This window comes from Homo sapiens, chromosome 2, assembly GCF_000001405.40.
Source record: "Homo sapiens chromosome 2, GRCh38.p14 Primary Assembly".
Taxonomy (NCBI): Eukaryota; Metazoa; Chordata; class Mammalia; order Primates; family Hominidae; genus Homo; species Homo sapiens.
This window is the reverse complement of record NC_000002.12, coordinates 127,338,755-127,356,428: the sequence shown is the minus strand read 5'-3', so window position 1 is coordinate 127,356,428 and position 17,674 is coordinate 127,338,755. Positions and strand designations below refer to the sequence as shown.

Below are 17,674 nucleotides of genomic sequence, written 5' to 3'. Positions count from 1 at the left end.
GTTTTTAGCCATAATGCCATTGCACACTTAGTAGACTACAGTATATTGTAAACATAACTTTATATGCACTGCGAAACTAAAAAAAGAAAAAGAAATGCATTTTGTAAGGCTATAGCTGCCATAGACAGTGATCAGATTGTTCTGATCAATCGGATCAAAGTAAATTGAAAACCTTCTGGAAAGGATTCATCATTCTAGGTGCCATTAAGAACATTGGTGATTCATGGGAGGAGGTAAAAAAATAAACATTAACAGGAGTTTGAAAGAAGCTCATTCCAGCCCTGATGGACAACTTTGAAGGGGTTCAAGACTTCAGAGGAGGAAGTAGCTACAGATTTGATGGAAATAGCAGGAGAACTAGAATTACAAGTGGAGCCTGAAGATGTGACTGAATTGCTGCAATCTCATAAAACTTGGATGGATGAGAAGTTGCTTCTTATGGACAAGCAAACAAAGTGGCTTCTTGAGATGGAATCTACTCCTGGTGAAGATGCTGCGAACATTGTTGAAATGACAACAAAAGATTTAGAATGTTACATAAACTTACTGGTAAAGCAGCAATAAGCAACTCAGTCGATGAAGGGTTTGGGAGGCTTGATTCCTATTTTGGAAAAAGTTCTATGGTGGGTAAAATTTTATCAAACAGCATCGAATGCTAGAGTAAAATTTTTCATGAAAGGAAGAGTCAATTGACACGGCAAACTTATTGTTTGTTTTAAACTAAATAAAACTGTTGTCTTATTTTAAGAAATTGCCCTAGTCACCCCAACCTTCAGCAACCACCACCACCCTTATCAGTCAGGAGCCATCAACATGGAGGCCCTCTAGTGGCAGAAAGATTACAACTCTGAAGGCTCAGGTGTTCTTTAACATTCTTTTAGCAATAAATAATTTTTAATTAAGGCATGTACATTGTTTTTTAGACATAATGCCATTGCACACTTAATAGACTACACATTGTAAACATAACTTTTATATGCATTGGGAAACAAAAAAATTCACTTTATTATGATGTTTGCCTTATTGCCATCATCTGTAACTGAACCCGCAATATCTCAGGTATACCTTTACTTTAATGATGATGTTTTCTGTCTTCTCGTTTGCATTATTCCTGATGAGAAAGTCTGCTGTCATCCTATTGCTATTTCTGTGTGTATAATGTGTTTTTTAAGCAGTTTGTGATGCATCTTGGTAAAGTGTTTTTCAAGTTTTTTGTGCCTTGGGTTCATAAAGAGTTTTGGATCTATGGGTTTATAGTTTCTGTCAAATTCCAAACAGTTATGGCATTTCTTCAAGTATACATTCTATCTTGCCCTGCTGTCATTTGGGGACTTCAGTTGAATGTATATTAGGCTCCTTTCAGTTTGTCTTAGTGTCTGCTTATGCTCTGTTCATTTTTTGTAGTTGTTTATTGGTTTTATTTTTTGTCATCATTATTGTGTTTACTAATCTTTTTCTCCGATGTCTGATTTACTGTTATTTCATTCAGTGTAATTTTCATCTTAGGCATTGTATTTTTTATCTGTAAAAATTTCATTTAAAAAACATCTTCCATGCCTCCACTTAGCATCTTCCCTCTATCTGCTTGAACATATGGAATATAGCTGTGACAACTGTACTAATTCTATCATTTGTGTCATATCTGGGTCTGTTATTATTAGTTGACTGGCTCACATTTTCCTGCCTCTCTTCATATTTGGTACTTTTTGATTCAATACCATATATTATGAATTCTACCTTGTTAGGCACTGGACATTTTTGCATTCTTGTATGTTTTGGGAAGCAGTTAAATTACTTGGAAACAGATCCTTTGCGTCTTGCTCTTAAGTTTCATTAGGTAGAACCAGGGTAGCATTTAGTTTAGCATAATTTTTCTCTACTTTTGAGACCACACCCTTCTGAGTACACTACCCAGTGTCCTGTGAATTTTGAGGTTTTCCAGTCTGACAGTCTGACAATCATGATGAAATCTTATATGTGAAAGAGATAAAATCAGGGTGTCATTGCCAGAGCCTCATCTCAGTATCTCACTAAATCAGGAAGTATATTTGGCTGTTTGTAATAAATACAAGGGGTTACCAAATAAGGGATTTACTTTTATCGTATAATCATTCTGAAGACTCAAAGTAGTCAGCATGCACTCTTTTTTTTTTTTTTTTCAAATGATATTTCTTTCTTTTTTTTTTTTTATTGATCATTCTTGGGTGTTTCTCGCAGAGGGGTATTTGGCAGGGTCATAGGACAATAGTGGAGGGAAGGTCAGCAGATAAACAAGTGAACAAAGGTCTCTGGTTTTCCTAGGCAGAGGACCCTGCGGCCTTCCACAGTGTTTGTGTCCCTGGGTACTTGAGATTAGGGAGTGGTGATGACTCTTAACGAGCCTGTTGCCTTCAAGCATCTGTTTAACAAAGCACATCTTGTACCGCCCTTAATCCATTTAACCCTGAGTGGACACAGCACATGTTTCAGAGAGCACAGGGTTGGGGGTAAGGTCATAGATCAACAGGATCCCAAGGCAGAAGAATTTTTCTTAGTACAGAACAAAATGAAAAGTCTCCCATGTCTACTTCTTTCTACACAGACACAGCAACCATCCGATTTCTCAATCTTTTCCCCACCTTTCCCCCTTTTCTATTCCACAAAACTGCCATTGTCATCATGGCCCGTTCTCAATGAGCTGTTGGGTACACCTCCCAGACGGGGTGGTGGCCGGGCAGAGGGGCTCCTCACTTCCCAGTAGGGGCGGCCGGGCAGAGGCGCCCCTCACCTCCCGGACGGGGTGGCTGGCCGGGCCGGGGTTTGACCCCCCCCACCTCCCTCCCGGACGGGGCGGCTGGCCAGGCGGGGGGCTGACCCCCCCCACCTCCCTCCCGGACGGGGCAGCTGCTGGACGGAGACACTCCTCACTTCCCAGACGGGGCGGCTGCCGGGCGGAGGGGCTCCTCACTTCTCAGACAGGACGGCTGCTGGGCGGAGGGGCTCCTCACTTCTCAGACGGGGCGGCTGCCGGGCGGAGGGTCTCCTCACTTCTCAGATGGGGCGGCCGGGCGGAGATGCTCCTCACCTCGCAGACGGGGTCACGGCCGGGCGGAGGCGCTCCTCACATCCCAGACGGGGCGGCGGGGCAGAGGCCCTCCCCACATCTCAGACGATGGGCGGCCGGGCAGAGACGCTCGTCACTTCCTAGATGGGATGGCGGCAGGACAGAGACGCTCCTCACTTTCCAGACTGGGCAGCCAGGCAGAGGGGCTCCTCACATCCCAGACGATGGGCGGCCAGGCAGAGACGCTCCTCACTTCCCAGACGGGGTGGCGGCTGGGCAGAGGCTGCAATCTCGGCACTTTGGGAGGCCAAGGCAGGCGGCTGGGAGGTGGAGGTTGTAGCCAGCCGAGATCACGCCACTGCACTCCAGCCTGGGCACCATTGAGCACTGAGTGAACGAGACTCCATCTGCAATCCCGGCACCTTGGGAGGCCGAGGCTGGCGGATCACTTGAGGTTAGGAGCTGGAGACCAGCCCAGCCAACACAGCGAAACCGCGTCTCCACCAAAAAAATACGAAAACCAGTCAGGCATGGCGGCGCGCACCTGCAATCGCAGGCACTCGGCAGGCTGAGGCAGGAGAATCAGGCAGGGAGGTTGCAGTGAGCCGAGATGGCAGCAGTACAGTCCAGCTTCGGCTCGGCATCAGAGGGAGACCGTGGAAAGAGAGGGAGAGGGAGGGAGGGGGAGGAGGAGGGAGAGGGAGAGGGAAGCATGCACTCTTTTTTAACTTACTGCTTTGCCATCCTAAGCATGTGGCCAAGGATTAAAATATCTAACAACTAGTTTTATATAATTTGGAATTTGAAGCTTAGCTCTGTCTAGATTGGAGATACAGATTTGAGGGTTAGTTTATAGGTGATGTTTCTTCAAGAGACTCAATAGAATGAAAAGAGTAGTAGTGCAAGAATGAAACTTCAAATGACACTGGCATTTAATAGCCAAACAAGGAAGAAGAGATTCTGAAGCAGACTCAGGTGAGATGTGGGAAGTGGGGTGAAGAATGGAGACTCGTGAGAGTGCATTGCCATGGAAGCTGTAATGGATATTTATGTTTTTAGCCTACCGGTATTTAAACAACCTTCTCTTTTCTTTTCTTTTTTTGCAGTGGTGGGGATGGGATCATCCATTGTGTTAGTCTTGGCGGAAGTAGCAGTGTTCTGTATCTAACCTTTACTGTAGTAGAATATAACACCAAAAGTAGGGAAGTTGGCCAGGCATGGTGGCTCACGGCTGTAATCGCAGCACTTTAGGAGGCCAAGGCAGGTGGATTGCTTGTGCCCAGAAGTTCAAGACCAGACTGGGCAACATAGCAAAACCGTGTCTCTACCGAAAATACAAAAATTAGCTGGGCATGGTGGTGCGTACCTGTAGTACCAGCTACTTGGGTGGCTGAGGTGGGAGTATCACTTGAGCCCAAGAGGTCAAGGCTGCAGCGAGCCATGATTGTGCCACTGCGCTCTAGCCTGGGTGACAAAGCAAGACCCTGTCTCAAAAAAGAAAAAAAAAACACAAAAAAACAAGAAGTAGGGAAGTCTAGATTATATGAAGTAAGCCATGGCAAGGACTTTGGAATTTATTCAAAGTAGAGAAACTACCAGTACTTTCTGACAGAGAGAGAGCATTAACATTCTCTGACTTACTTTTTAAAAGGGTGATCCTTATTGTTGTATAGGAAATGAGTTATATTAGAGTTTGGAGTAAAATCAAGTTGATCAGATATGAAACTATTTCAGTAATCCATGCAAGAGAGGATTATGGCTTGGAGTAGTGAAATATATTTTTAAGGGAAAGCTAATGGGATTTGCTAATGGATTGGAATATAAGGTGAGAGCATGAGAGGGGTCAAGCCTATCTCAAAATTTTTGTTTTGAGCAACTGGAAAAATAGAGATGCTTCTTGATAAGACTGGAGAAGAATAGATTTTTTTCACTTTGTTTTTGTTTTTACAATTTTTTTCTTCTGAAATAAGTTCCAGAAGTTGCAAAACCAGTATAAAGAAATTTGTTTTGATTATTTGAGAGTAACTTGCTAACATGAGGTCCCATCACCCCACAATATTTTAGTTTGTAATTGCTATCAATAAGGATATTTTTCTACATATCCAGAATCCAACTGTCAAAATGAGGAGGTTAGCATTGATAGAACCTGTGGATTATATCATCTAATCCACAGAACCCATTCAAGTTTTGCCAGTAGTCCCAATAATGCTCATTTTAGGAAAATAATTCAATCAGGATTATAATTTGCATTTAGTTGTTGTGTCTTTTTGATGTATTTCAATCTAGAACAGCCATAACGTTTCCTTGACTTTCATGATTTCGACAGTTTTGAGGTTTACAGAGCAGTTAATTCTTAGACTATTTCTCAATTGAGATTTGTCTAATGCTTCCCTATGAATCAATTCAGGTTATCAATTTTTGGTAGCAGTATCACAGAGGTGATGTGGTATTCTTCTCAGTGTTACCTTACCAGTTGGCACTTTTTTTTAATTTTTAAAAATTGAAGTCAGGCTAGTTAGGTACATGATTTTAATTTGCCTGTTACTGATGATCTTAATTAACATGGATCACTTGACTTAAGCTTTTTTTTTTGTCTGCTGGCTTTCTACACTAGAAAGGGTACTTTTTTTTCCTTTGAAAAATGAGTGGAAATGATTATTTTTTGGAGATGGTGTGTTGAAACTAAGTAACTCATTCCTCATCACACTTTTCATCCACTAGCTTTAGCATTTGTTGATTTTTCTTGGTTGAATTATTACTTAATTATTTCTATTGATGATTGCTGAATGGTGGTCTTTCTAATTTTATTACATTCATTAGTTGACATTCTACTGTAAGAAAAAGCTTTCTCTTCCTCCCATTGTTGATTTATTTGTTTATCTTTGTTTTTATGGACTCATGGTTTTCTTCTTTCTTTTTTTTTTTTTTTTTGTTTTTGTTTTTGTTTCAGGAGATGGGATCTTGCCATGTCGCCCTGGTGGGATACAAACCCCTGGGCTGAAGTGATCCTCCTGCCTCAGTCTCCTGAGTAGCTGAGATTATAGCTATTGGGCCTAACTTCATTGTTTCATTTTTTCTATTCAGTGGGCCTGTAATCCAACATTATTTTTATTTTGATGCTCAAATTGTCCCATATTTGATAAGTGGAATCCCCTTCAAGTTGTGCCTGTGGCCTTCTGACATGTCCCCATAAGTCTTTATGTGCTTTCTTTCTGGTTCAGTGAGATGTTTTAGGCTCATTTTGCAATTACCTCCTCTAAATCAGCTGTATCTCAGTCATATTCTGATTCCTCAGCCGTACAGTGGGGATTGGTACTTGCAGACATCAGGGCAGCGTGGCAAAACTCCATCTCTACAGAAAATTAGCTGGGCGTGGTAGCAAATGCTATAGGCTGAGGTGGAAGAATTGCTTAAGCCCGGGAGATTGAGGCTGCAGTGAGCTGTGATAGTACCACTGCACATCAGCCTGGGTGACAGTGCAAGACCCTGTCACAGAAAACAAAACAAAACCACCTGAAAAATTTCGTTGAGAATTTAAATTTTTATTGAAAGAGAATATACTAAATAAAACTTCCCCAACCACTTTGTGACTTTCTCTATGTGCATATGTATGGTAGGAGAATTTTGTATTCCAGCTAGTTGTTTCCTCAAAAGGTAAATTGGAGTGATATGGCATTATGGAAAGTTTACTTGAGTAAGAAATAAGAAACAGGTATTCAAGTCTTAGCTTTGTCCAACTTTATAAGTTATATTATCTTTTTGGCCCTCAGATTTTAAAATAAGATGTTTAGACTAGATGTTTTCTTCTCAGCTGTTTAAAATTTAGTCTTATATTTGTCTTGATTAAAAGTCCTAAAAACTGAGGTAATACAGTGGTTGCCCTTGAAATGGTACTGATAGGCATGATGAAGGGAGCACTTTCTCGAGACCAGGCTGGATGGCCTGTAATCCCAACACTTTGAGAGGCCGAGGCAGGAGGATTGCTTGAGCCCAGGAGTTTGAGACCAGCCTGGGCAACACAGTGAGACGCCATATAAAAAAACAAAAACAAAAACAAAAAACTAGCCAGGCATGATGCGTACCTGTAGTCCCAGCTACTTGAGAGGCTGCAGCAAGAGGATCACTTGAGTCAGGGAAGTTGAGGCTGCCGCAGGCAGTGATCATGCCAGTGCACTCTAACCTGGGCAACAAAGTGAGACCCTGTCTCCAAAAAAAAAAAGAAAGAAAAGAAAGGAACACTTTCTTGTTTTATGTTATATTCTGTGTTAATAATTTTTACATTTTTTCTTTGATAATTCCTTAATGTTACTTGACATTTGAAAATAATATAACTAAAAAGAAATTAAAGTTGTCAGTGCTTACAAAATGGCAGCATGCAAGGATAACATGGTTGTTTTTGTAAAAATTTGAATTAGTTGCTAATATTTGAAATTGGGGAGATCTCACATTAAAATTTGGATTAGGGCTTTTTGAAAAACCAGCATATCTGATAATACTGAGCCCGAACTTCTGTAGCAGCTATTGACTGGAGCTGAGGCAGTTGCTTCTCTAGGTGAGCAAATGATCTCTAGTTATTCATAGAACCAGCCACTTCTATTTTGTTTCCTTCCTTTCTCCCTTCCTTCCTTTTTCAGTTATAATTTGCATACCATGAAATTCACCCTTTTAAATACTACAATTCAGTAATCTTTCATTTATTCACAGAGTTGTGCAACCATCACCACTGCCTCACTCCAGAACATTTCCTCATCCCCCAAAAGATACTTCATACTCATTCACAGTCATTCCCCATTTCCCATACCCTGGCTTTAGGAAATCACTAATCTACTTTCAGTCTCTGTAGATTTGCTATTCTAGACATTTCATGTAAGTGGAATATGGGGCTTTTTAAAAATCTGGCTTATTCCACTTAGCATAAATTTGTCCATGTTGGAGCATGTATAGGTACTTTATTCTTTTTAATGACTGAATTTTATTTATTTGTTTATTTATTTATTGGAGATGAAGTCTCACTCTGTTGTCCAGGCTGGAGTGTAGTGGCGTAATGTGGGCTCACTGCAACATCTGCCTCCCATGTTCAAGCAATTCTCCTGCCTCAGCCTCCTGAGTAGCTGGGATTACAGGCTCCTGCCACCATGCCCAGCTAATTTTTGTGTTTTTAGTAGAGATAGGGTTTCATCACATTGGACAGACTGGTCTCAAACTCCTGACCTCAAGTGATCCAATTATCTCAGCTTCCCAAAGTGCTGGGATTACAGATGTAATCTGTAAGCCACCACACATGGTCAATAATATTTCATCATATGGATATAGGACATGTTTCTCTCTTCATCAGTTGATGGACATTTGGGTTCTTATAAATAGTGCTGCATTGAATTTACAGGGTTTTGTGTGGTTGTGTGCTTTCAGTTCTCTTGGGTATATACAATAGGAGTGGAAACAGTGGCTCATATTTCTTCACATCTTCATTACCACCTGTCATTGTCTTTCTTTTTGATTATAGTCATCCTACTGGATGTGAGGTAGTATGTCATTTTGATTTTTATTGGCATTTCCCTGATGACAGATGATACTGAGCATCTTTATTTTTCTTTTTCAGTATTGTTGTGGCTATTCAGTGCCTATTGCAGTTTCATATGAATTTAAGGATCAGTTTTCCGTTTCTGCTAAAAGAGGCCATTGGAATTTTGATAGAGAGTTCATTGAATCTGTAGATAACTTTGGGAGTATTGCTATCTTAAAAATATTGTTTTCCCATTCATGAATATGGGATGTCTTTCTGTATATTTAGGTCTACTTTAATTTCTTTCAACAGTGTTTTGTAGTTTTTAGAGTGCAAGCTGCATTTTTTTGTTGTTGTTAAATATGTTCCTAAGTACTTTATTTTTTTTGGTGGTATTGTAAATGAAATTGATTTCTTAATTTTATTTCCAGAATGTTTATTGCTAATGTATAGAAATATAATTGATTTTTGAATGTTGACCTTGTATCCTGCATCTGTGCTGAACGTGTTTATTGATTCTAATACTGTTTTTGTTTGTTTCTTAGGTTTTCCTGTATCTAAGATTATGTCACTTGCAAATGGGTATAGTTTTACTTCTTATCCAGTCTGGATTCCGTTTATTTCATTTTCTTGCCTCGTCTTCTGACTAGAACCTCTAGTACAATATTAAATAGATGTGTGGCAAGAGTGGACATCCCCATATTCCTGGCCTTACTGGGAATGTATCCTGTTTTTCACCATGAAGTTTTTCACCATAATCAACTTGATTATGTCCTCTTCTGTTTGTTATCTTTTGAGCATAAAAGGGTGTTGAATTTTGGCACATGTGTTTTCTGTATGTTTTGAGATGATTTGGTTTTTGTTCTTTTTTCTTTTTTTTCTTTTTTTCCTTGAGACAGAGTCTCGCTCTGTCGCGCGGGCTAGAGTACAGTGCAGCATGATCTCTGCTCACTGCCAACCTCTGCCTCCCAGGTTCAAGGGAGTCACCTGCCTCAGCCTCCCAAGTAGCTGGGATTATAGGTGCCCATCACCATGCCTGGCTAATTTTTGTATTTTTAGTAGAGGCAGGGTTTTGCCATGTTGGCCAGGCTGATTTCGAACTCCTGACCTCAGGTGATCCGCCTGCCTCAGCCTCCCAAAGTGCTGGGATTACAGGCATGAGCCACTGTGCCTGCCTGGTTTTTGTTCTTTGTTCTGTTAATGTGGTTTTTTACATTGATTGGATTTTATGTGCTGAACCAACCTTGATTTTGTTGGATATATCCCAAATGTGCATGGTATATAATTTGTTTTTTAATGTTCTAGGTTAGGTTTGCTAGTATTTTATTGAGGATTTTTGCATCTGTATTGATGAGATATTGATCTTTAGTTTTCTCATCTTGTGATGGCTTTGTCTGGTTTTGGTATTGGAGTAATACTGGCTTCACAATGAATTGGGAAGTGTTCCTTCTTTTTTTTTTTTTTTTTTTTTTAAAACCAGTTTTTGTAAATTCTGTAAATGTTTGAAGTGATCTGGTCCAGGGCTTTTATTTGTGAGAAATTTTTCATTTCTAATTTAGTCTTTTTACTTTTTATAGGTCTGTTCAAATTCTTAATTTCTTCTTGATGAGTCGATTTTGATAATTTGTTTCTTTTTAGGAATTTGTCTGTGTCATCTCAGTCATCTAATTTGTTGATGTACAGTTGTTAACAGTATTCTCTTATCCTTTTTATTTCTGAAAGGTTGGTGTAATTGCTCCCTTTTGAATTCTTGAATTTAGTTATTTGTGTTTTCCCTCTTCTTTTTTTGATTAGCTAAAAGTTTGTTAGTTTTGTTGATCTTTTCAAAGGGCCAATTTTTGTTTTCTTGATTTTTTTTTTAAATTTCAGTGGTATTTTTATTTTCTACTCCCTATTCCTTTAGCTTGTTTCAGATTTAAATTGTTCCTCATCTTCTAGTATTTTAAGGTCAAAGGTTAGGTTATTGATTTGACATCCTTCTTGTTTGTCAATGTAAATATTTACAGTTATAAATTTTATCTTTAGATGCATCCAATACATTTTGTTTTGATGTGTTTTCATTTTTATCTCAAAGTATTTTCTAATTTTCCTTATGCCTTCTAGTGACCCATTGATTATTTTTATGTTTTTTAATTTTCACATATTTGTGAATTTTCCAGATATCCTTGTGTTGCCAATTTCTAATTTTATTGCATTTTTGTCAGAGAACACACTTTGTGTGATTTCAATCCATGTAGTTACTGAGATTTGTTTTATTACCTAATATTTGGTCTGTCTTGGAAATGTCCTATATGTATTTGAGAAGAGTGTATATTCTGCTGTTTTGAGGTTGATTATTCTGTAGGTGTTTGTTAAGCCTAGTAGTTTATAGTGTTGTACAAGTCTTGTATTTCCTCATTGATTTTCTGTCTACTTATTTTATCCGTTATTGAACGCAGGGCATTGAAATCTCCAACTTTTATTTTTGAATTGTGTTTCTTCCTTGAATTTTATACTTTTTTGCATTGTGTATTTTGCGATTCTGTTGTTAGGTACATATAAGTTTATAATTGCTATATCTTTTTGATGTATTGGCTATCTTTCATTATAAAATGCTGTTTGTCACAACAATTTTTGTGTCTGTTTTGCCTGATAGTGGTGTAGCCACTGCAGGTCTGTTTTGACTACTGTTTGCATAGTATATCTTTTTCTATCCTTTTACTGTCAACCTATTTTGTCTTCGAATTTAAAATGTGGACCAGGTGTTGTGGTTCGTAGTCCCAGCACTTAGGGAGGCCAAACTGGGAGGATCACTTTAGCCCAGGAGCTTGAGACCAGTCTGGGTAATCTGTACAAAATCTTTTTTTAAAAATCAGCTGGGTGTGATAGCATGCACCTGTAGTCCCATCTACTCGGGGGTGCTGAGGTGGGAGGATTGCTTGAGCCTGGCAGATCAAGGCTGCAGTGAGCTGTGATCATGCCAGTGCACCTCAGCCTGGGAAAGAGAGCAAGACCCTCCTCCTGTCCCCCAAAAAAAGTGTCTGTTGTAGGCAACATATTCAGGTCAAAATGTTTGGGACCAGAAGTTTTTTGGATTTTTTTCATGTTTTGTAATATTTGCATATACATAGTGAGGTATCTTGGGAAAGGGACCCAAGTCTAAACATGAAATTCTTTTATGTTTCATATACATCTTATTCATATAGCTAAAGGTAATTTTATACAATTTTTTAAATGTTTTCGAGACAGGGTCTTGCTCTGTCACACAGGCTGGAGTACAATCATAGTTCACTGCAGCGTTGACCTCCCTGGCTCAAGCAGTCTTCCCACTTTAGCCTTCCAGTTAGCTGGGACTACAGGCATGCACCACTACACCTGGCATTTTGTTTTTTAAATCTTTTTTTTTTTTTTTTTTGGTGGAAATGGGAGTCTCCCTATGTTGCCCAGGCTGGTCTCAAACTCCTGGGCTCACGTGATCCTCCCACCTTGGCCCCCCCAAATTGCTAGTATTATAAGTGTGAGCCACTGTACTAGCCAACAATTTTTAAAATAATTTTGTGTCTGAAACAAAGTTTCTATTATTACCCTTGTAGGCCTCTTGCATGGGGGAATTTGGGCATGCATGGAAAAGATATATTACAGTGGAAGGGGCTGGTAGGGTCTCTTTTCTCCTGGGGGATGCTGAATAAACTGAGTTGTGCATCTGCCTTTTGACTGTGACATATCACATGAGGACAGGTTTGTGGAATTTTCCATTCATAGTGTCATGTTGGCACTCATATTTTTCATCTTATTTTCTAGTTGACCTGGGGATTACAGTTAACATCTTATAATAACATAGTTTGAGGTAATATCAACTTAATTGCAATGGTATACAAACACTTTTTTTTTTCTTCTAGGCAGTCTCGCTGTGTCGCCCAGACTGGAGTGCCACAGCTCACTGCAACCTCAACCTCCCAGGCTCAAGTGATCCTCCCACCTCAAGCCTCCCAAGTAGCTGGGAGCTACAGGCATGCACTACTGCACCCGGCTAATTTTTGTATTTTTTTGTATAGATGGGGTTTCACCGTGTTGGACAGGCTGGTCTCGAACTCCTGGGCTCAAGCAATCCGCCTGCCTAGGCCTCCCAAAGTGCTGGGATTATGGCATGAGCCACTGCACTTGGTCATAAACACCTTTCTTTTATGTAACTCTATCCTTTCCCTTTCCTGTGTGCTGTTAATATTATGTGAATTATATTATTATATATTGTATACCCAGCAACACAGTTATAATTATTGCGTTATGCAGTTTTTTTTTTAAACCAACATATTAGTTTCCTATTGCTGTTTATATAGAAAAAGAGTTAATGTAGTGGGCCTGATTGCTGATTTGTAGAAGGCCTGCTTAGGAGTTAGCCTTTGGCTGACACCTGAGAACTTGGATTTCAGGAGAGTTCCTGCCTCCAACTGATAATGGTTTGTACAAACACTATGGTTTATGCTGAATACCTGCTTTTCTTCTGGGAGTCTGGAATTTTGGTATGTGTTAGGCAAGGGGGTGCCTACATGATCAACCTTCAATATAAAACACCTCCCCCTAGCGAAATGTGTAAAGTATTCATATTGTATATTTTTCATTAGTATTATTTAAACTGACTTTTTTTTTTCTTTTCCTGGCTCCTTTTCTGTTTCTTTTTATTAATATGCTGATCTGTTTTATCTTCTCAGGCCATAAAGAATGCTGATGGGAGAACCATTTTCCTAATTTTCAAATTGTTGAGCTGTTTGCCATAATGGGTGAGTTCAAACTAAAAGCATTTTTCAGCAATAATTAAAGGATAGAATGGAAGTGAAAAAACTTTCTCTATTATGTGTTATTATAAACCTTTTTATAAATAAATTTTATGATATAGCAGATTTATGAAATGTTTTATATTTACTTAATAGACTTTGAATTAAAGTACTTTTTGTGTTGCTGTAGTTTTAGAATGATCATTTTATGCGTAACAGCAGGGACATTCAAAATAAGCTGTTAAGATGTGTTGTGATTTGCTTAAAGTCTGATGGCAAGAGAGAAATCATAAAATTTAATTTTATCATTCATAGAGCAGCAAATCATTGGTGCTCAGGGAGAATATGTTATACAACTCTTGGTCGTATATTGTGGTATAATGTTAGTTTAAAGACACTAAAGTATGGGAATGGATTGTGTATGTTCAGTTTACATATTTTGTTTTCCTGTTTACCTCCTTTTTGTTTTTTCCTTTTCTCCTTTGTGTTAAGGGTTCCAGCATGAGGCAGGGAATTAGTTAGACAGGAAGACACTAGAAGGAAATGGAGTCACGAATGGCCCACCCTATCCTAAATCAAGAAAAATGGTACTGAGTAGTTGGATGCTAAATTTTGAAACTTAGACTGATCCTGGGATTTAATTCTGACATTTGCTTGCCAGAGTTTGCCTTTATCACACATTTTCTACTTCTTGCTTAACAAAACAAATACACACACACACACACACACACACACACACACACCCTCATGAAGAACTTATATTTGCCCATGTGATGAAAGTGGGGGCTAGGACACTTTCACTGTGTGTCATTGTAGCAAGTATGTAAGCTTAGACTTCACCTCCCTACTTTAAAAATTGTTCTTCCACTTCCTCTTCTGTAGTCATGAGTAGCAGTGCCCCCTTGTAGCCCAAATTCTCCACTCTAGTCAGCCTTACTTTCAGCTCCAAATTGGATGTACTTTTACTGAACTTCTTTCAACTTTTTATTTTGGGTGCTGTCACTTGTACTCTATGTATCGATCAAATTTATTTTTGTCAGCCTCAAATAATACTGCTCTATAGTAGGGCAACATTCATTGCTTAAAAACATACAAAGTTAGTCACAGAACACCATGACAGATGTTTGAATTTTTGATTGAGGATGTTCTTCTGTAATTATTTTTCAAATATCATGAATAAGCATATAAGGTATTTAATTCAACATTTCTGATAAAAGATTTTTGAAAAAATTATTTTCCAAGTATTTTTTGGTTTTGTGCTCAATTCAGTGTCCTTCCAACATGTGTCAGAAACCCATTGGGCCGGGCGTGGTGGCTCATGCCTGTAATCCCAGCACTTTGGGAGGCCGAGTCGGGTGGATCACGAGGTCAGGAGATTGAGACCATCCTGGCTAACACAGTGAAACCCCATCTCTACTAAAAATACAAAAAATTAGCCAGGCATGGTGGCGTGCGCCTGTAGTCCCAGCTACTCAGGAGGCTGAGCCAGGAGAATGGCGTGAACCCAGGAGGCGGATCTTGTAGTGAGCCGAGATCACGCCACTGCACTCCAGCCTGGGCGACAGAGCAAGACTCTGTCTCAAAAAAAAAAAAAAAAAAAACAACAAAAAAAAACCCATTGTACTTACCCATAAGTACGTAAGTGTACTTATGGGTAAATAAGTGCCCAGTAGTAATTCTTCAAGCCCGCCAAGTAAGGAACTCAATTAAATTGCCCTTTGTTTTTTATGTCACCTTCCTAATATGGGAAGTTTTGTTCAACTGGCCCCACCATTTTTTACATATATAACAGAAAACGGTACTTATTTTTTTTTCCGTTCTCATTTTTCTTAATAAATAAGTAGGCCGGGTGCAGTGGCTCACACCTGTAATCCCAGCACTTTGGGAGGTCGAGGCAGGCGGATCACGAGGCCGGGAGATCGAGACCAACCTGGCTAACTCGGTGAAACCCCATCTCTACTAAAAATACAAAAAATTAGCCAGGCGTGGTGGGGGGTGCCTGTAGTCCCAGCTACTCGGGAGGCTGAGGCAGGAGAATGGTGTGAACCCGGGAAGTGGAGCTTGCAGTGAGCCGAGATGGCGCCACTGCACTCCATCCTGGGCAATAGAGCGAGAATCCATCTCCCCTTGCTTCCCCCGTCCCCCCCAAAAAGAAAGAAGTATTTATAAATGTGATAATTTTAGCCAAAGGCCCTCCCCCAAGGCATTTATTTTGACATTGTAATATTAAGCATATAAAATTGTTTAAATTCAAATGTTTAGGTTTCTTCTAATAAAAATTAGAACAACATAGATAGATTTAAGTTCCCACTTTGGGAGGCCAAGGTGGGAGGATCGCTTGAGCCCAGGAGTTCAAGACCAGCCTGGGCAACATGGTGAGACCCCCATCTCTACAAAAAAATAAAAAAAGAATTAGAGTTCATCTATCCCTAGTATAGAATTAAGGATTTACCTTTTTTTTTTTTTTCCTTTTGGGAAACAGATTCATGCTCTGTTGCTCAGGCTGGAGTGCAGTGGTGCAATCTCAGCTCGCTGCAACCTCTGCCTCCTGGGTTCAAGAGATTCTCCTGCCTTAGCCTCCCAAGTAGCTGGGACTACAGGCACCTGCCACCATGCCTGGCTAATTTTTGTATTTTTAGTGGAGACGGGGTTTCACCATATCGGCCAGACTTGTCTTGAATTCCTGACCTTATGATCTGCCCCCCTCGGCCTCCCAAAGTGTTGGGATTACAGGCTTGAGCCATTGTGCCTGGCCAAGGATTTACCTTCTTAAAGAAGGTCACATCAAATGCTTTTATTCCAGTTGAGATCATTGTGAGCTTATTGATGGGTACATCTATTGTGATTATATTGTACCTGACTGTGGCTTGGTTACCTATTTGGCTAAACTAACATTATGATAAAACTTTATTTTATAAAAAATCCTTGGTGAAGGATTATAAAATTTTTTCTTAACCTGGAAATATTAATAAATTAATAAACCAATAAAACCATGGCAACCATTACTTTTAAATTTTAATATGCAAATAATTTCACTACAAAATAGACTATATTAAGTGTTATTAAAAATTAGTAAATTAGAGAAGTCAGCTGTTTGTGTGTTTGAGAGACTATTAGGGCTACTGAATTGTTGGAATATTTTTAGTGATTTCCCATACAGGATATGGCATGTTTTAATTTTTACTACTCCAAGAACATAAGTTACTGCTCACCAAAATGGTTACATTTTAAAATGTAAAGTGTAAAGTCTCTTGATTCCTTTATTTATCATTTGTGATTATCATTAGTAGAATTGATTTACTAGTGAAAATAAATTAAGTTGTCCCTGATGTCTTCTGGAGAGCTTATAATTGGCATTACTGGCAGGCACATGGTTTTAGTCTCAGAAGGAAATCTTTGGTATATTTATAAGAGTCTAAAAGTTCATGTTCATGATGCTTTCTCTCAGTTTTATGGACTTGGTACTTTTTCTAAGGAAAGGAATTTTCTTACATTGTTGCTGGCCAAGATCTTTAAATAGTCTGTTTTTAGTCTTGTCAAACCTTATGGTGAAGAAGTTTGAAAGAGCATTTCCAAATACAGTAGGCCAGTATCCACAGGTGAAGCTTTTCTTTGTTTCTGACTCTTAAGTATTGATGAAAGAATAAAAAAACCTTCCAAAATTAAGTCTGTACTTTGAATATAAATGCTAAGTAATGAGATTTATACAAAGTTGTTTATTTTTTTTTCCCTACTTTTTAAAACATTTTAGATACCTTGATGTTTTGTTTAGGAGTCATAGAAAAGAATTTGTTATAACAGGGCAGTTTTGACCTTATTCTAGGATATTAAATCATTGGAAGAATCAGAATGACTTCATCTTGTCCATTAGTGTCTCATGTGTGGACTGATGCTAGAGATTAAGTCTAGTGCAATTTTATTTTACCAAAAGTGTAGGCATTAAAAATGTTCTAGATGCATTTTTGCATTAATACATTCTCTACATCAAATTTTATTTTAAATTTTGTGTTTGATGTCTATACATGTTGATATATATGTCACAATTACAATTCTATGTATGTGTTGTTTCAAAACTACCTAGATGATCAGCAAGCTTTGAACTCAATCATGCAAGATTTGGCTGTCCTTCATAAGGCCAGTCGACCAGCATTATCCTTGCAGGAAACCAGAAAAGCAAAATCTTCATCACCAAAAAAACAGGTATTTATTTTAATAAGTATTTTTTTATGAATTACTTTCCTTTAATATCCTAATCTTATGGAGGACTTGTTTAATGTGTTCAGCTTTTACACTTTCGAATCAAGAATTTTGTTAGTGTTTGTTACACATTTTCGTGTAAGAGTGTGTGTTCATCTATTAACAGTAGCAAAGACGTGG

General features: G+C 38.9%; 1 protein-coding gene across 6 annotated transcripts in view, besides 2 other annotated features; it reads left to right on the top strand.

The window, feature by feature from the left end:
- Positions 1-17,674, top strand: part of MAP3K2 (mitogen-activated protein kinase kinase kinase 2) — an 89,798-nt gene that overhangs the window by 32,037 nt on the left and 40,087 nt on the right. For 5 of the 6 annotated variants that reach the window (NM_001371911.1, NM_001371910.2, XM_047442990.1 and 2 more), the window contains 2 exons: positions 13,235-13,303; positions 17,379-17,497. In NM_001371911.1, coding sequence (NP_001358840.1) covers positions 13,300-13,303; positions 17,379-17,497 — 123 coding nt within the window. In that variant the 5' untranslated portion in view covers positions 13,235-13,299. Of the gene's footprint in view, positions 1-13,199; positions 13,304-17,378; positions 17,498-17,674 lie in introns of those variants that run through there. The other variant, NM_006609.5, reaches the window with a different exon arrangement.
- Positions 1,845-2,423: an enhancer, noted in NCBI's record as "NANOG-H3K27ac hESC enhancer chr2:128111582-128112160 (GRCh37/hg19 assembly coordinates)". NCBI's record gives its function as "activates a minimal SCP1, AML or CMV promoter by ChIP-STARR-seq in naive H9 embryonic stem cells {active_cell/tissue: H9 hESC(naive)}" and the evidence as "EXISTENCE:reporter gene assay evidence [ECO:0000049][PMID:30033119]".
- Positions 3,943-4,442: an enhancer, noted in NCBI's record as "H3K4me1 hESC enhancer chr2:128109563-128110062 (GRCh37/hg19 assembly coordinates)". NCBI's record gives its function as "activates a minimal SCP1, AML or CMV promoter by ChIP-STARR-seq in naive H9 embryonic stem cells {active_cell/tissue: H9 hESC(naive)}" and the evidence as "EXISTENCE:reporter gene assay evidence [ECO:0000049][PMID:30033119]".